Consider the following 20,389-nt stretch of genomic DNA (forward strand, 5'->3'; position numbering starts at 1 on the left):
ATTTTACTTAACTGTTTCTGTAGAATTTATTGTTTATGCTAGCTACCATAGAGTATGAAGTGTTTGTGGGCACAATAAAGATATTTTTTGCTTGAAAGAGGCAAAATGTTTGAAATGGTATTCATTTCTTATATAAGAAAACTGTAATTTTATTCTACTTATGTTACCTGCAAGAGTTCCCATTTTATGTACGGCTGGCTATTTCAAAAGGGAAGTACAAAGTTCTCCAGATGTTCTACGTGACCAAATAAAACCTAGTACTAGTAATGAATGTTCAAAAAACAGAGTAGGTCTCTGAGTGATGTTTAACTTCTAAATAGTATGTGGGTGACACTCAGTTGATAGGTATTCACTAGTTTGTATGACTTCACATAAATCATATTAGTCCTAATACTCTCATGGCTATTATTTCCGTGGTGGGCCCAATAACCAGAAGCCCAGAACCCTAGGGTTTCCATAGGCTTTCTGAAGTCTTCTGTGAGGTAGGTAAATAGGGACTATTTTTTTTCTAAGAGATCAAGTCCTGCTATGTTTCCCAAGCTGGAGTTCAGTGGCTATCCACAGATACAATCAAAGCATGTATCAGCCTCCATCTCCTGGGCTCAAGTAATCCTCTCGCCTCAATATAGTTGGAACTATAGGCATGCTACTATCATGACTGGCTCAATAACTTTTTTTAAGTGACCAGAAATATCCCCTACATATATTCCTGAGAAATTACTGCTGCTCAAGGAAATTTAGGCATTGAACATCCGTTTTGGGTTAACTGAATGTTGAAAATAAGATGAGTGGCAGAAGATGTAGGAAAAGAGCAAAAATCTGAAGTTAGAGAACTAAAGAAAAAAGAAGGAAAAAAATGCATGATCAACAATCACTTATATCAATATAGACCTAAAAGGAATATGATCAAAGGTAGAGATGGCCAAAAAGACCAATTTTTAATGAGCAGTTTTCTTAATCCATTCAAGACTGCTATAACAAAAATACCATAAACTGGATAGCTTACAGAAAACAGAAATTTATTTCTCACAGTTCTGGAAGCTGCAGGGTACAAGAACAAGTTGATGACAGATCCTGTGTCTGTGGAGAGCCTGCTTCTTGGTTCTTAGATGTTGCCTTCTGGCTGTGTCCTCACATTGTGGAAGGGCCAGCTAGCTCTCTAGGGTCTACTTTATAAAAGTGCTAATCCCATTCGCAAGGGCTTTACTCTCATGACCTAATCATCTTCCAAAGTCCCACCTCTTAATACTATACTATCGTATTGTTGATTAGGGTTCAACACATGAATTTCAGGGAGACACAAATATTTAGACAATAGCAGCAATTATTCCTTGAAGAAAACAAGTTTATTCAGCTCGTCCATCTCTGTGCTGACAATTGTGGGAAGAAATAATAATGTCAATACTAATAAGAGCTAACATTGATAAAGTACTTGCTGTGTGCCAGGCATAATTGATACAAAGATCAGAAGTATGAGGCTTACATATGTTTAGAAAATCCATCAATAAGGTATTACACTCTAAACATTAAGATTTCCTGATGAAAGCCTAAGTGCTTGCTTTCTAGTATCATACAACATTCATTTCATGTTTTTAAAGAATGATCATTGCTTAAAACTTGATTAGTAGTCAACAATAGTATTGGTGGAGTGGATTGTCAAAATTGTATTATACATACATGTCCATATACATTTACATAAACGTATATATTATTATATATGCAGTATGCTTATTATTTTTAAAATAATTACCTGGTTGGCATTTGCAAACATATCCATTGATGTGATCTTCACAGTCTGCACCATGTAGACATGGTGATGAAGAGCATTCATTTATATTAATTTCACAAAATTGACCAGAAAATCCAGGAAGACATCTAAGGAAAAAAAATGAAAACGATATTTGTATATATTATACACATGAGCACTATCACTTTTCATCTTGGGATTCCATCATTCAAACGTGTTTTCAGAGCTCCAACAACATGTAGCTGGGAGCCTTCCTTGGGGTGACAATGAGTTGAATTGTGGCCCCAAAACAGTATGTCTAATACTTAACACTAAATATCTGTGAATGTGAATTTATTTGGAAATAGAGTCTCTGCAGATTTAATTAAGTATCTTGAGATGAGGTCATTCTGGATTAACTCGGTGGGCTCTAAATCCAGTGACAAGTGTTCTTACAAGCACAGAAGACAGAGACCCACAGGGGAGAAGGCCACGTGAACATGCACATAAAGATTAACATTATGCAGCCCTAAGTCAAGGAACACCCAGAGCCTCTAGAAGCTGGAAGAGGAAAGATAAGATTTTTTCCTAGAGTTTTCAGAGGGAACATGGCCTTGCTGACACTTTAGTTGGACTTCTGGTCTCCACAACTATGAACAAATAAATTTCTGTTATCTTAAGCTAACGAGTTTGTGGTAATTTATTATGTCATTCCTAGGAAACTAATACAGAGATTATGTTATTGCATGTATCTGCTTAAATCCAAGTGAACTGTTTGAAAAGAAATAAAACAGAGGTCTCTGGGAGACTCTTAAAATGGAGAAATTGGGGGCATGTCATGAAAGGTATGCTCCATAATTGGAAGAATAGATATGGAAAGAGTCAATAGGTCAGAGACTATTGTACTTCCTCTTAATTTTTAGGGACGCTTTAATAAAAACCATTTAGATGTCAGCTGTTAAACCATGCTTCAAGAACTGATGGAGGATCCACAATATTGATTAAAGTGCAATGTCCATAGCTATAGATACAGATTTGTCGAGTGCCTACAACATGCAGGTATTTTATGAATGCTAAGAATACAAACGTAAGTAAAACTCTGTGTCTGCCTTCAAGAAGCACTGAGCCCAGTTGGGAAAATAGACAAGTAGCCGACACAATTATATGATAAATGCTATAATCAGCATATAGATAAATGTATTTTTATCATGGCAGAGTATACGCAAGGGCAAGAATAAGAAAAGAGTGTGAGTTAATCCAGAAATTGCAAGTAGTTTTGAAGGCTGAAATATAATGTGGGAGAGCACAGTCTGGGGTGATGCTGATGAAAAAGGATAAATTAAATAAATAGAAATTAGATCATTATACAGTATTGGATCATAAGTTTTACCACATATTTACTGAAAACTTATTCACAATATATAACTTTACCAAAGTCACAAGACAAGCAAATTTGCAAAAGTAGAATTTATTGGTCTGTACTTATCAGCTAGCCAAATTTAGCCACTGTGCTTTACTTGCATACACAGTTACTTAGGTGATACAAAAATTAAGTTCTGTTTTTCACTGCAACTGGGTCTGCCCGGCTGAAGCTAGGTAACGATGAATTTTAGACCGTCCAGAATGTTAGTAACTCCACTGTGCTAGATCCTTACCTAGCTGAAGACTTTCTTGACCAACAAACAATAAGACTTGCTTTAGGGCCGGGGGCGGTGGCTCACGCCTGTAATCCCAGCATTTTGGGAGACCGAGGCGGGTGGATCATGAGGTCAGGAGATCGAGACCATCCTGGCGAACACGGTGAAACCCAATCTCTACTAAAAAATACAAAAAATTAGCCGGGCGTGGTGGCGGGCTTCTGTAGTCCCAGCTACTCAGGAGGCTGAGGCAGGAGAATGGCGTGAACCAGGGAGGCGGAGCTTGCAGTGAGCCCAGATCACGCCACTGCACTCCAGCCCGGGCGACAGTGCGAGACTCCGTCTCAAAAACAAAAACAAACAAACAAACAAACAAACAAAGACTTGTTTTAACTGTGTGTGGATTTATGGATGGTCTGATTTTGTACTGTGAAGATGACATCTTCAGTATTGAATTCCCACTGCCACAGTCAACCTCCCCATCTTTGTAGCAAAAAGAAACCCATAGCAGTGTTTTTTTTTTTTTTGAGAGGAATTCATCACTAGTGGTTTACTCTTATATGCAAAATAAACTTCTATGCAAAATAAACTCAGGTCTGATTTTGTCAATAATCGAAGTGTTCATTGTCTTTCCTTGAATATCATAAATTGTTCTTCAAAAATGCATTATCAATATATTTATTTTATTTATTTTTGAGACAGGTTCTTTCTCTGCTACCCAGGCTGGAGTGCAATGCAGTGGCCCGATTATAGCTCACTGTAATATAAAACTCAAAGTAATCCTCACACCTCAGCCTCCCACATAGGACTACAGGTGGTGTGCACCATCACACCTGCCTAATTTTTGTGTGTTCATTATATAAAATGGACATTTTCTCTGTGTCCATTACACAAAATGGGTCATGCTATGTTGCCCAGTCACATTATCAATTTATATTCTTGGCAGAGTTATCTAAAATGTCCATTTGTCTGCGTTCTTACCTATGAACAATATTAACATTTATTTTAATTTTCATTGCAAAGGAAAAAAACTACTTACCTAATAAAGATTTTTTAAAGGGGATAGTTTAAAAAATTTTTAATATAATTTGTATTTTGCGATAATTTTAAGGATAACAAAAAAGTTGCAAGGGTAGCACAGAATGTTCTCATAGACTATGTATCCAGTTTCCTTTATTGTTAACATCGTACATTCACATGGTATGTTTGTCACAACTAGTGACACAATATTACTACATTATTATTAACTGAAGTCTATGTATTATTGCAGTTTCTTTAGCTTTTATCTAATGTCTTTTGTTTCTGTTCAAGAATCCTATTCAGAATACCACATTCCATTTAGTTGCATATCTCCTTAGGCTCCTTTAGACTGTAATATTTTCTCATACTTCCTTGTTTTTGATGACTTCGACTGTTTTGAAGGGCATTGGTCAAGTATTTTGTAAACTATACCTCAATTTAGGTTTAATATTATTCCCATGGTTACACTGGTGTTATATGTTTCTGAGAGAAAGACATCATAGAAAAGGCTCTCATCACATTATATTAACATTACTCTTTAGAGGGAAGTTGCTTTGCACATCCCACGCTTAAGAGATGAGAAGTCATGCACACCTCTTTAAAGGAGAAGTGCCTATATAAATAATTTGAAATAATTTCTTTATATATATTTTTAAAATCTTTTCTGGAATTTTGAGTGAAATGGCTTTGAATCTATAAAAGTCAAGTTGTAAGAAACAATATCTTAACAATACTGAGTTTTTCAATTTATGTTAAGAAATATGTCTCCAGTGACACATATCTTTGATTTCTTTCACCGATATTTTATAGTTTTCTACACAGAGATATTATAAATATTTTATTAGATTTATACCTAAATGCTTCATTTTTGTTTACTGTTCTAAGTGGTATATTTGTTTTGTTTTGTGTTTCTTCTTTCCGATATTCCAGTGTTCATTACTAGAAAGCAATTGACTTCAGTATGATGATCTTATATCCTGCAAACCTTGTTACACTAGCTTATTAGGTCCAAGAGCTTTTTTCAAAAATAGTAGAGGGTTTTCTATAGAGAAAATTATCTTCTACAAAGATAATGATTGCATCTGTAGATAAAGACCGTTCTGTTTCTTCCTGTTCAATCTACATACCTTTTATTTCTTTTCCCTGTCTTATTGCACTCAGTAGGACTTCTAGTAGGATATTAAATAGCAGTGTTGTGAGAGGAAATGTTTGCCTGTATCAAATCTGAAGGAGAAAGGGTTTAGTTTTCATCATTAAGAATGATGTTAGCTATAAGTTTTTAAAATGTAGCCTTTATTAGGTTAAGGAGTTTACCTTTTATTCTGAGATTTTTTTTGTTTTTTGTTTTTATTTTTGTTTTTGAGATGGAGTCTCTCTCTGTTGCCAGGCTGGAGTGCAGTGGCACGATCTCGGCTCACTGCAAACTCCGCCACCCAGGTTCAAGTGATTCCCCTCCCTCAGCTTCCCGAGTAGCTGGGACTAGAGGCACACACCACCACGCCCAGCTATTTTATTTTGTATTTTTAATAGAGACGGGATTTCACCATGTTGGCCAGGATGGTCTCGATCTCCTGACCTCGTGATCCACCTGCCTCGGACTCCCAAAGTGCTGGGATTACAGGCATAAGCCACCACACCTGGCCTATTCTTAGTGTTTTTGACAGTTTTTATGAGTGGAAATTAAGTTTTGTCAAGTGATTTTTGTGCATCCATTAAGATCATTATATGGTTTTACTTATTCATCTGTTGATATATAATCATATTGATTAAATGATACATGATATGATAATGATTGATACAGTCATGTGTATTTTTCTTGATCAAGTGTTAAAATAGTGAACTATACTGAATGTTTTATGAATGCTAAGGTTTGCTTTCCTGGAATGAACTCCACTTGCTAATTTCAGAGTGTGTTAATGCAGTCATCTTCTTGTTATTTGCAAAGGGCCCATGATTTCAATTTTAAACTTTTAATGTTAAACTTTTACTCTTTGTTCCTTCAAGGTTATGTGATGTTTACATTCTTAGCTTGAATGGAGGAAAGATTTTGAAAACACTTATAAAATAGAAGTGCATAACAATTTATAACCCCATGTTTCACAAAAATATTTACACAATGATCTGTAAAAATTTATAACATGGGGAAATTGTGCTACTTATATTGGTATTATAAGCAGTTTTATCCCATACGTATTTATTCACTTTATAAGCATTTTAATAGAATGTCTGACGGATTGAAATTACTTACCCAACTTGTTTATACAAAAGGATTTACTAAAAACTGTTAAACACTACTACATAATGACACTGTCACACCAGGCTTTTAACATAAGAATTGCTCTGCAATACTAGGAGAAGGGGCATAAAAGACAAGTTGATTTTGCAGCATAGCAACTAAAAATATAACAATGAAAGCAACTGTTAAAAATGAGAACTCAGAACTTAACATTAGAGGGACCCAACATCATGCCTCCATTTAGCTAATTGATACAAAAGAGTTAGTTTAACTGCTATTAACAGGTGACAGGAGCCACTCTCAAATGATTCTTCAAATTGGAAAGTACTGTCTTACAACCTGTTGTTGCAGATAAGAAGTAAATGAAATCATTTTGTATGGTTTGCAGCTGTTTGGATAACCACCTGGCCTAGATACTTTCCCATAATCATTCTGCTAGTTACCACTTATTACCCAAGACCTTCCTGAAAATCCTCCTTTAGGCCCTCACTATTGTTGCTGATACTGTTCCTTTGATACAGCTGCTTTTATTTCACATTTATTAAGCCCATCATAGTAGTATTTATTTTCCATTATTTTCTTCACTTGTTTCTGTTCGTTAACGATAATGCAGAGCCCATGTCTCCTTGTTGGTCTTTTCCATGGGAGTTTTATAGATTTTACCACTCCAAAAACAGCACTTGGTTCATTTATTAAGATAAATTATGAGGCACATAACAAAGCAATTCTCCAGAATTGCTTTATTTGTTTATTAACAAATGTGTCTGGTATCATACAACCGAAGTAAGAAAGAATAAGAAGGGTACAAAAACTGAATTTTCATCCCCCACAATCTATTCTATTCAGAAACCTTTTTTTATTTTTTGAGATGGATAATATTTTAATTTAAATGAGACTTAATTCAAGTTACATACATTCACTAAATTCTTATTTGCCTTTGAAATATTTACATTAAAAAACAATTAAATTTATATTCTATTTATATTACATTTATAATTTCTAATATCCCATTTGCTGGGCTTTGATAATATAATTGATAGGATGTAGTTTAATAATTGTCAAGGAAGGAACGATGTTATGACTTTTTATATCTGCAAAGCATCAACTTTAAAATATTAACTCTAAATGCTCAGAAGCTGAGTGTTTATTTATAAACTTCACTGAAGCCAAGATTTCTCAAGTTAGAATAGTTGAAAAGTATCAGATATGTAAATGACTTCATACAATTTCAGAATCACCACAGTTCTTTTCCGTGATTTATCTTCTTTTTTAATAATTAGTGACCACAACTACATATAACTTATTTTCTTAAGATATGCAAAAAATTAAAGTATATATCTCTGTGAATAGTACTCTATTAGTAACTGATCATACTTAATCATGAATAGGAAGCCTCCAGTTAGAAATCTACACACCTCGGATATTACTTCTGCTTAATTTTATTTACCTGTGCTGTAGCCAAAAATTTTGACGGTTTGGAATTTTTGCCTTGTTTTTACATAAGAAACTATAGTTCTGAGGAATAACCATAAACCAAACCAAACCAAACCATTTTACACTTCACTTACCCCTGTGTCCTGACCTCTTCTCTGTCCTGGATGATATACCAGAATATCTAACTGGATTCATCCTTCAGATGAATGGCCATGGGCTTACAAATTTGACATATTTTCTTTTTTAAAATGTTATTTTTATAGATGATATTGTAAACTTCTATGTTTCTGGGAAACACAATAGGAGCATCAGGTTGATAAGTAGGGGATATTCAGTGAATAGGCAAAGCCAATGATCTGAGCAGAATGGTCTTGATTATGAGTTCAATATTATACTGCTTCTCATTTCAGTATTTTTATTACTATTCAATTGATCACATTATATGCTCTAAATTTTTAAAAATACAGGTATTTTAAACTCATTTCATTGCTTTGTTGCAGAGACTGTGATAGATTGGAATCTAATTATTAAATGTATTTTCAAATGTGTAATTTAATTTTATTATAGTCAAACTGCATAAAGCATAATCCAAACTGAATTATAAAATAAGTAATTTTAGTGTTGTTTATATTATGTATCTTGAAGGTCATTTTAATTTAACATTTTTACTTTTATCCTGAGTAATTCTATTGTCACTATCAATTATGCATACAGATTAAGAGGAGTTATTCTTAGCAATTATTGTAACATAAACCAAAGTTTCCTGAAACCACTTTAAAAACTAGAATATTGTCTAAATAACTGTTGAAATTGTATGTAGACATATACAAAGATTTAGGTAAAAAGGACATTAACTACACCTGTCTCCGTAGTTATGAATGAATGAAACTCAAAGTAGTTCCTTTTTATAGATGATATTATTTCGTATCACTTTTTAGTAAAACATTGCTTTATATATTGATATTGACAGTATTTAAACTTCATTAATTTGAAATGATCCATATGCAGAAATTAAGACAGAGCTGGGTGCAGGTTGTTTATTTAGAAGGTGATCCAAGTAAGCAGAAATGAAGGAGTGGAAAGAACAAAACAGGGAAAAATAAAAGTTAAATAAGAATGCATTATTTAGCAGTTTGTCACATTGAGCAACTGGGACTCAGTCTGACTGCAGTAGTTTTCACATTCTTTCATACTTTTCTCAGCAAAAAAAAAAAAAAAAAATGGAGCCTAAGCCCCCTTTTAACCCCCATCATTGGAAAGTTGGCTTCCTCCTACTCTGTTTGGATCTCTTGTGCAGGCAAGCTAGACAGTCTATCATAAAGAAACTCATGTATCACTATAAAGAGGCCCATGTGGAAAAGAACTGGAGCCTTGACCAATAGCCACATAAGTAAATATAGAAGGGGATCTTTCAACCCCATGTGGGTCTTTATATGATTGTAATCCAGCTCGCATCTTGAGTGCAACCTCCTGAAATATACTAAGCCAGCACCACCCAGACAAGCTGCTCTTAAATTCTTGACTCACAGAAATGGTGAGATGACAAATGCTTGTGTTTGTTTCTTTGTTTGTTTGTTTGAGATAGAGTCGTGCTCTGACATCCAGGCTGGAGAGCAGTGGTGTGATCTCAACTCACTTCAACCTCCGCCTCCCGAGTTCAAGCAATTCTCCTGCCTCAGCCTCCCAAGTAGCTGGGACTACAGGTGTGCGCCACCAAGCCCAGCTAATTTTTGTATTTTTAGTAAACACAGGGTTTACCCATGTTGGCCAGCATGATCTCGATCTCTTCACCTCGTGATCCGCCTGCCTTGGCCTCCCAAAGTGTTGGGATTACAGGCGTGAGCCACCACACCTGGCCTAAATGCTTGTTGTTTAAACAACAGAATTTTGAGGGTAGATTGTTATATGCAATACATAATTATGTACAAAATGAGGACTAATTGAAAAATCTGTAAAGAAGACAAATCAGAAACTACCTCAGAACCACTGATGAACAAAGCAATTATTCACTGATTCTTATTCCCTACTAGCCATGGATAGCTCATAGGCTAATACGGGCAAACTTCTGGGCTGATTTATGAGTGGCTATCTTGTGCGTATACTCAGTAAGATACCCTAGCTTCCAAAAAAAAAAAAAAAGAGCCCTAAGGCACAAAAGTACAAAATATTGAAGTGTGGTATAGTCAATATACTTGGGAACTGTCCAGCACAGCTGGGATGAGATGAAAAGCATTAAAAACAACTGCTCCACATGCCATGTGAGGATCCCCAACCTATTTCATATGTCAAAAAACATCTAAGAAAAAATGAAGAAGGGAATTTAATAAATTCAAACTACACTGAGAACTTTGGTTAAGATAATTTTTCTCTTCTATATTCCACTTTTAAGAACATTCAATATAAAAGAAATTAGATTTTTATTAAGGGGACTATTTTTAAGAGATAACAAGCATGATGGGGATGGCATTGAATCTGTAAATTACCTTGGGCAGTATGGCCATTTTCACGATATTGGTTCTTCCTACCCATGAGCATGGAATGTTCTTCCATTTGTTTGTATCCTCTTTTATTTCATTGAGCAGTGGTTTGTAGTTCTCCTTGAAGAGGTCCTTCACATCCCTTGTAAGTTGGATTCCTAGGTATTTTATTCTCTTTGTAGCAATTGTGAATGGGAGTTCACTCATGATTTGGCTCTCTGTTTGTCTGTTACTGGTGTATAAGAATGCTGGTGATTTTTGCACATGGATGTTGTATCCTGAGACTTTGCTGAAGTTGCCTATCAGCTTGAGGAGATTTTGGGCTGAGACGATGGGGTTTTCCAGATACACAATCATGTCATCTGCAACAGGGACAATTTGACTTCCTCTTTTCCTAATTGAATACCCTTTATTTCCTTCTCCCGCCTGATTGCCCTGGCCAGAACTTCCAACACTATGTTGAATAGGAGTGGTGAGAGAGGGCATCCCTGTCTTGTGCCGGTTTTCAAAGGGAATGCTTCCAGTTTTTGCCCATTCAGTATGATACTGGCTGTGGGTTTGTCATAGATAGCTCTTATTATTTTGAGATATGTCCCATCAATACCTAATTTATTGAGAGTTTTTAGCATGAAGTAGTTGTTGAATTTTGTCAAAGGCCTTCTCTGCATCTATTGAGATTATCATGTGGTATTTGTCTTTGGTTCTGTTTATATGCTGGATTACATTTATTGATTTGCGTATATTGAACCAGCCTTGCATCCCAGGGATGAAGCCCACTTGATCATGGTGGATAAGTGTTTTGATGTGCTGCTGGATTCGGTTTGCCAGTATTTTATTGAGGATTTTGCATCAATGTTCATCAAGGATATTGGTCAAAAATTCTCTTTTTTGGTTGTGTCTCTGCCAGGCTTTGGTATCAGGATGATGCTGGCTTCATAAAATGAGTTAGGGAGGATTCCCGCTTTTTCTATTTATTGGAATAGTTTCAGAAGGAATGGTACCAGCTCCTCCTTGTACCTCTGGTAGAATCTGGATGTGAATCCATCTGGTCCTGGACTTTTTTTGGTTGGTAAGCTATTGATTATTGCCACAATTTTGGAGCCTGTTATTGGTCTATTCAGAGATTCAACTTCAATCCCATCCCCATCAAGCTATCAATGACTTTATTCACAGAATTGGAAGAAATTACTTTAAAGTTCATATGGAACCAAAAAAGAGCCTGCATCACCAAGTCAATCCTAAGCCAAAAGAACAAAGCCAGAAGCATCACGCTACCTGACTTCAAACTATACTACAAGGCTACAGTAACCAAAACAGCATGGTACTAGTACCAAAACAGAGATATAGATAAATGGAACAGAACAGAGCCCTCAGAAATAATGCCACATATCTACAACCATCTGATCTTTGACAAATCTGACAAAAACAAGAAATGAGGAAAGCGTTCCCTATTTAACAAATGGTGCTGGGAAAACTGGCTAGCCATATGTAGAAAGCTGAAACTGGATCCCGTCCTTACATCTTATACAAAAATTAATTCAAGATGGATTAAAGACTTACATGTTAGACCTGAAACCATAAAAACCCTAGAAGAAAACCTAGGCAATACCATTCAGAACATAGGCATGGGCAAGGACTTCATGTCTAAAACACCAAAAGCAATGGCAACAAAAGCCAAAATTGACAAATGGGATCTCATTAAACTAAAGAGCTTCTGCACAGCAAAAGAAACTACCATCAGAGTGAACAGGCAACCTACAGAATGGGAGAAAATTTTGCAACCTACTCATCTGACAAAGGGCTAATATCCAGAATCTACAATGAACTCAAACAAATTGACAAGAAAAAGACAAACAACCCCATCAAAAAGTGGGCAAAGGATATGAACAGACACTTCTCAAAAGAAGACATTTATGCAGCCAAATGACACATGAAAAAATGCTCATCATCACTGGCCATCAGAGAAATGCAAATCGAAACCACAATGAGATACCATCTCACACCAGTTAGAATGGCAATCATTAAAAAGTCAGGAAACAACAGGTGCTAGAGAGGATATGGAGAAATAGGAACACTTCTTTTACACTGTTGGTGGGACTGTAAACTAGTTCAACCATTGTGGAAGTCAGTGTGGCGATTCCTCAGGGATCTAGAACTGGAAATACCATTTGACCCAGCCATCCCATTACTGGGTATATACCCAAAGGACTCTAAATCATGCTGCTATAAAGACACATGCACACGTATGTTTATTGCGGCACTATTCACAATAGCAAAGACTTGGAACCAACCCAAATGTCCAACAATGATAGACTGGATTGAGAAAATGTGGCATATATACACCATGGAATACTATGCAGCCATAAAAAATGAAGAGTTCATGTCCTTTGTAGGGACATGGATGAAACTGGAAACCATAATTCTCAGCAAACTATCGCAAGGACAAAAAAACAAACACCACATGTTCTCACTCATAGATGGGAATCGAACAATGAGAACACATGGACACAGGAAGGGGAACATCACACTCTGGGGACTGTTGTGGGGTGTGGGGAGGGGGGAGGGACAGCATTAGGAGATATACCTAATGTTAAATGACGAGTTAATGGGTGCAGCACACCAACATGGCACATGTATACATATGTAACTAACCTGCACATTGTGCACATGAACCCTAAAACTTAAAGTATAATAATAACAAAATTAAAAAAAAGAGATAACAAGCAAATGGCCAGAACCAACCTGGACAATGAAACTTACCTCAATCTATCACCACGTCTACATTACTCTACAGTGATCAGAAATCTCTTCTCAAGGCAAAATTCTCAATTATTATTGTCAGTGTGGGGAGGGAGCTGGGAGAGGGAGAGCATCAGGAAGAATAGCTGGTGGATGCTGGTCTTAATACCTAGGTCATGGGTTGATCTGTGTAGCAAACCACCATGACACACGTTTACCTTTGTAACAAACCTGCATGTGTACCACACATAAAATAAAAGTTTATGGTAAAAAAGAAAAAAGAAATTTTTTTGTTCTTTTTTTACAGTAGCATGCTATTTCTAGATCACCTTTTAAAAAAAAGAGAATGAATACAACTCCACCAGGCACCCTGATGGACCAAACCCAACACAATTCAAATATACTGAACTTAAGGATACACTGAGCATTTCAGAGCAACCCACTGTCCTGAACTGACAGTTCAAAAATGTATAGGAGTGCATTCTGAGAATACAACTATATGATATTTTAAAAATTCTTTATTTTATGAAAAAACAATTTTAAACACAGGCAGACTACTTTGAACTTTGGATATAAATGTTGGGAAGAATGTAGGACCTTCTGAGGCAGGGACAGAACTAAACTTTAAACAGAACTAGCTTATTCCTGAAAGTGTTTAGTTATAGGTAGATACATTGTTCCTTTCTAAAGAAGCTATGACTAGACTCTCTATTAAATCTAAAATAGTGAGAATATGAATTGTATTTACAATAGAATACAGAAATTAATAAATTAAATGATTATTAAAATACACGCATAATGTTGTAATGATAATTATTAAGAGCTGTGAATTGTCATTCATCTAGTTACCTCCACAACATAAAGCTCCTGTCTTAGTTCAGTCCATCTTTCATTTTCTTTTAATTTTTAACATGTGTCTTTTTCATTATTTGGGAGAGTTCTAGAATGAGCAAGACATCTTGCCTGTGTTCTTTTTAGACTATCTTCACCCTGAGACAACAAAATCCTCCCTGACACATCTATCTCATATATACTTTGTAGTGGGGGGTTTAAAGCCATGGCCTCAAAATATTCAAGTGCAGTCATTTTCAAGCAATTTTCTCTGACTATCTTTTCCTCTGGGTTTTTTGAGGGTGTTAAGAACATGGTGCTGATGTTTCTACTTCCCTACCAAATGCTGTTCTAATGTTACCAGTTACCAACATATTCAAGCCACTCATTTTGTCTTTAACCACTTGATGTGTTTAACAGTTCCTTGGTTGCTTTAGTAAATTCTTTCCTTGTTTACCTCCCTGCCCCCTCTAGTAGATTTTCAGGGTTGCCATAAGAAAGCACCACAGATAAGTGGCTTGAACAACAGAAATTCATTTTCTCACAGTTCTGGAGGCCAGATGTCCAAAATCCATGTGTGGGCAGGATGACAGGATTGGTATCCTCTGAAGCCGTCTCCTTGACTTGTGAGAGACTGTCTCCTCCTTGTGTCTTTGCATGGTCTTCCCTCCATGCATGTTTGTGTCCCCATTTCCTCTTTTTTATAAGGACACCAGCCATGTTAGATTGAGGCCCACCTTCATGACCTCATTTTACCTAACTTACCTTAATTACCTCTTTAAGAGACCTGTCTCCAGTCACAACCTTAAAGCAGGTCTTGGAAAATTACAAAATCAATTTTCAGAAACTTCATGAACATTTATGTTTTCAAGCATGAGTATTATATGTAAATATACATCTCTTTTTTCATCAATTTGTGGCTTTTAAAATCATGCTCAGTTATAAGCATTATACAAATTTTTCCCATTTCTTAATATACAAACCTTGAAACATTCTATAAATTAAAAAGCGTTTTGCAGCTTTTAGTGAAAAGGCATTGCATGGGAGGCCCTTATGCTAAAGATTAAAATTCCTTACACCTTATACAAAAATTAATTCAAGGATTAAAGACTTAAACGTTAGACCTAAAACCATAAAAACCCTAGAAGAAAACCTAGGCATTACCATTCAGGACATAGGCATGGGCAAGGACTTCATGTCTAAAACACCAAAAGCAATGGCAACAAAAGACAAAATTGACAAATGGGATCTCATTAAACTAAAGAGCTTCTGCACAGGAAAGGAAACTACCATCAGAGTGAACAGGCAACCTACAGAATGGGAGAAAATTTTCGCAACCTGTTCATCTGACAAAGGGCTAATATCCAGAATCTACAATGAACTCAAACAAATTGACAAGAAAAAGACAAACAACCCCATCAAAAAGTGGGCAAAGGATATGAACAGACACTTCTCAAAAGAAGACATTTATGCAGCCAAAAGACACATGAAAAAATGCTCATCATCACTGGCCATCAGAGAAATGCAAATCGAAACCACAATGAGATACCATCTCACACCAGTTAGAATGGCAATCATTAAAAAGTCAGGAAACAACAGGTGCTAGAGAGGATATGGAGAAATAGGAACACTTCTTTTACACTGTTGGTGGGACTGTAAACTAGTTCAACCATTGTGGAAGTCAGTGTGGCGATTCCTCAGGGATCTAGAACTGGAAATACCATTTGACCCAGCCATCCCATTACTGGGTATATACCCAAAGGACTCTAAATCATGCTGCTATAAAGACACATGCACATGTATGTTTATTGCGGCACTATTCACAATAGCAAAGACTTGGAACCAACCCAAATGTCCAACAATGATAGACTGGATTAAGAAAATGTGGCACATATACACCATGGAATACTATATACAGCCATAAAAATGATGAGTTCATGTCCTTTGTAGAGACATGGATGAAATTGGAAATATCATTCTCAGTAAACTATCGCAAGGACAAGAAACCAAACACCACATGTTCTCACTCATAGATGGGAATCGAACAATGAGAACACATGGACACAGGAAGGGGGTCATCACACTCTGGGGACTGTTGTGGGGTGGGGGGAGTGGGGAGGGATAGCATTAGGATATATACCTGATGCTAAATGACGAGTTAATGGGTGCAGCACACAAGCATGGCACATGTATACATATGTAACTAACCTGCACATTGTGCACATGTACCCTAAAACTTAAAGTATAATAATAAAAAAATAAAAAGATTAAAATTCATGCAAAGTATTAAATAAAAACATTCTTAAGCTTCATGATGAAAACAAAACAAAAATAGCTTTGTATTCTTTTCTCGTTCTTTGTAACCACTAAACACATTTAGTGTCTCATTTTGGATAAATGCCATTGGAACACGAAGCTCAGAATCTAAGGTCAGCTGCCCTATTCAAGAGGCTTAGGACTTCTGGATCCTCTCATTCATTAACGACATGACATTTCTACTTTATACAAAATATTCAGTTGAAATTAAATTCTCCCTAACCAGGTAGGGCAGGCAGAATTTGTTTTTAACTCCAAAGCTATATCTTCACAATAGAACTACTTGGTATTAGTCCATTTTCATTCTGTTGATAATGACATACCCAAGACTGGGCAATTTACAAAAGAAACAGGTTTAATTGGACTTACAGTTCCATGTGGCTAGGGTAGCCTCACAATCATAGCAGAAGGCAAGGAGGAGCAAGTCCCTTCTTGCACAGATGGCAGCAGGCAAAGAGAGAGTTTGTACAGGGAAACTCCCCTTTTGAAAATCATCAAATCTTGAGAGACTCATTCACTATCACCAGAATAGTGCAGGAAAGAACCTCCACCATAATTCAATTGCCTCCCACCAGGTGCCTCCTACAACATGTGGGAAATCAAGATGAGATTTGGGTGTGGACACAGCCAAACCATATCATGCTTATAATAGTTTGCCAACTTTACATGGTACAGATTGCATGGTACAGTAAGAAGACCAAATCAATGAATGGGTTCCATGCATCAAAATAGCATCAGAAGGGAATCTCTTGCTCTCTTTCTCTCTCTCTTTCACAGAGACATTGTGGTTGGGGGTGAATTTCACTTTGAGATAAAAACTGATTTCACTAACAGTTTCCCTTTCATACTTAAAAAACTTTACTGTGTAAGGCAGAGGTCTCCAACACCCAGGCTGGGGACTGGTACAGGTCCATGGCCTGTTAGGAACTGGGCTGCACAGCAGGAGGTGAGCGGTGGGTAAGGGAGCGTTACCTCCTGAGCTCTGTCTCCTGTCGCACCAGCAGCCACACTGAATTCTCATAGGAGCGTGAACCCTATTGTGAACCTCATATGCAGGGGAATTATGTTGTGTACTCCTTATGTGAATCTAATGCCTGATGATCTGAGGTAGAACAGTTTTATCCCCACACAACTACTCCTTCCTCCCATATGTGAAAAAATTTTCTTCCAAAAAACCAGTCCCTGGTGCCAAAAAGGTTGGGGACTGCTGGTGTAAGGATGAGATAGCTGTTACTACCACTGTGTCCACAAAAAGAACAATGTAGTTAGACTGGAAATAACATGAAGACAGAAAGATTCTGGCTCCTTGATGGCATCATCAAGCTGCTGAAAGAAATCTGGAATCACCAACTCTTAAGTTTCTGATTTTGGGGAAAAAAATTAATCTGTATTGTTTGTCCATTAGTCAGTTTGTTGTTCTGGTGGTTACTTAAAGTTAAAAGCATCTTGAATTATAACATTTTTGTTTTAAATTTCATTCGTAATTTATCTTTATATTTAACATTCATCTTAATAAACTTTTTTAATAATTACCAGTTTTCAGAACACATAGAAATATGATATTTGAAAAATTATGGTAGCTGAGATTTAATGTGCCATTATATATTATGCTCTGTATTTCTCCATGGTTATATACACATATTTTCCTATACTTACAATCGATATATTCTTTTCTTCCCCTAGCTTATAAGGTTATCCTACTGTGAGTGAAGATGAGAGATATGACATAGCCCTTTCTGTGCTGTGCTCTTGTCTCCATATCATTTTGTCCACATTATTTATTTCAACATATATAATTTTCCTCTTCTTTGGAGAAATCATAAATGAAATGCTTCCTGTGAGGAAAACTTACATTCAATTTTTGAGTAGCCAGGGTTCCTGCCAGAGAGATAACACTTGTCCAGCTAATGCATTACTAAAAAGCAAACAAACAACAACAACAAAACCTATGTATCTATTCTTTTCATTCTCTCTAAAACCCTTCTCTACATTGAGAGGATAGAAGAAATGTGCTGTGCACCCCTTCCTTTATTAATAGATAGTACTGGGCCAGGTGCGGTGGCTCACGCCTGTAATCCCAGCACTTTGGGAGGCTGAGGCGGACAGATGACCTGAGGTCAGGAGTTCGAGACCAGCATGACCAACATGGAGAAACCCCGTCTCTACTAGAAGTACAAAATTAGCTGGGCGTGGTGGCACATGCCTCTAATCCCAGCTACTTGAGGGGCTGAGGCAGGAGAATCACTTGAACCTGGGAGGCAGAGATTGTGGTGAGCCGAGATCATGCCATTGCACTCCAGCCTGGGCAACAAGAGTGAAACTCCATCCCCCCCCCCAAAAAAAAACAACACTGAAGAAAAGACGACTTTTCAACTCCTCTTAGTTGGTCCAAATGCACCCACTTCCTTTCTTAGGGAGAGAAGACATGTGCTTTTATCCATAGAGTGTATAATTGGCATCTAAATTTAGATATCAGGTCAGTGCAAAAGTAATTGTGGTTTTGTCATCACTTTAATGGCAAAACTGCAATTAATTTTACACCAACCCAATACTTTGGAGGTTTAAAGTAAGTCTTACTGTTAATTGTCCTGGGCCAAAAACATGAATAAACAAAAAGAATTTCAGACAAAGTGGTATGTATGGTCATCCTACCCATAAAAGGTCTATGCTCTTTGGATGCTTGGCATCTTTTCCTCTAAGGAAATCCCACGTGGTCCTGGGCAGAGTTGGGGGTGAGAGTAGGTGTAGGGAAGTGTGTGGTGTTAACAATGATTTCCCACCACATATCCCCTGATACGGTTTGGCTGTGTCCCCACCCAAATCTCATCTTGAATTGTAACTTCCACAATTCACACATGTCATGGGAGGGACCCAGGGGCTGGTTACTGAATTATGGGTGTGGGTCTTTCTCCTGCTTTCTCATGATAGTGAATAAGTCTCATTAGATATGATAGTTTTATAAGGGAGAGTTTCCTTGCACAAGCTCTTTCTTTGCCTGCTGCCATCCACGTAAGACGTGACTTGCTCCTCCTTGCCTTCCAGGATGATTGTGTGGCCTCTCCAGCCATGTGGAACTATAAGTCCATTAAACCTCTTTCTTTTGTAAATTGCTCAGTCTTGGGTAGGTCTTTATCAGCAGCGTGAGAGTGGACTAACACATTCTGTAAGGCACTGAAGTGATCCAAGCTGTTTAATCCAAAAAGCTAGTTAATATATTTCCTGTAATTTTGTTTGCTTTGGAAGTGAGAATTTTACTCAAGTGGTATCAATTAAGTTTTCTTATATGACCTGATTTTTCTTTTGAATTGTAGCCTAAGATACAGTGAAGGTTACCAGCTGCAATTTTCCCCACCATATGTATACAGTCTACCTTTCAGTAAAGTCATTATATACAAGGGAGCAGAGTCAAAAGATAAATAATTTCTGGACGAGTCATTCCTGGATCCAGCTGTGCTTGAAATTAGCATCATAATGGAGCATCCCAGTTTTATGAGCCATAAAAATTCTATATATGACTTAATTAGGCAGAGTTAATTTTTTTACTTGCAGTTGACAGTATTAAAATGGCATTTTTGTCATCTTAGGATTTAAAAGAATTGGGATGGAGTGAAGAGGGTAAGAACCAAGAGTAAGAGGAATTAAGATAGGAGATTATTTCTATTGTGAGGCTGATCATGATGAGAATGTATGAATTTTTTATATTTTAATGTGCAATATGCTTTTAGGAATGCATATTCTCTGGAGATATAAACTATATTCATAAGAATTATTACAAAGCTAATACATTCTGGAGATTTATACTTATATTTAACCATTTTAAATACACTAATATCCAGAGAAGTAGTAGAACATTATGATATGAAAAGATGATGAGCAAGGAAATTATATATGCATGGAAAAATATGTTTGCAAACCAATTCCTGATTTCAGCCTACCTGAATTGATATAAATGTATATTTTAATGCAGTTAAAA

General features: G+C 36.6%; 1 protein-coding gene and 1 pseudogene across 2 annotated transcripts in view; both read right to left on the bottom strand.

Annotated features, from left to right (window-relative positions):
• Positions 1-20,389, bottom strand: part of EYS (eyes shut homolog) — a 1,987,247-nt gene that overhangs the window by 904,391 nt on the left and 1,062,467 nt on the right. For both annotated transcript variants that reach the window (NM_001142800.2, NM_001292009.2), the window contains exon 23: positions 1,751-1,875. In NM_001142800.2, the coding sequence (NP_001136272.1) occupies positions 1,751-1,875 (125 nt within the window). The remainder of the gene's footprint in view (positions 1-1,750; positions 1,876-20,389) is intronic.
• Positions 6,835-7,312, bottom strand: HNRNPDP2 (heterogeneous nuclear ribonucleoprotein D pseudogene 2; annotated as a pseudogene).

This window comes from Homo sapiens, chromosome 6 (genome assembly GCF_000001405.40).
Source record: "Homo sapiens chromosome 6, GRCh38.p14 Primary Assembly".
In the NCBI taxonomy this organism is placed as follows: Eukaryota; Metazoa; Chordata; class Mammalia; order Primates; family Hominidae; genus Homo; species Homo sapiens.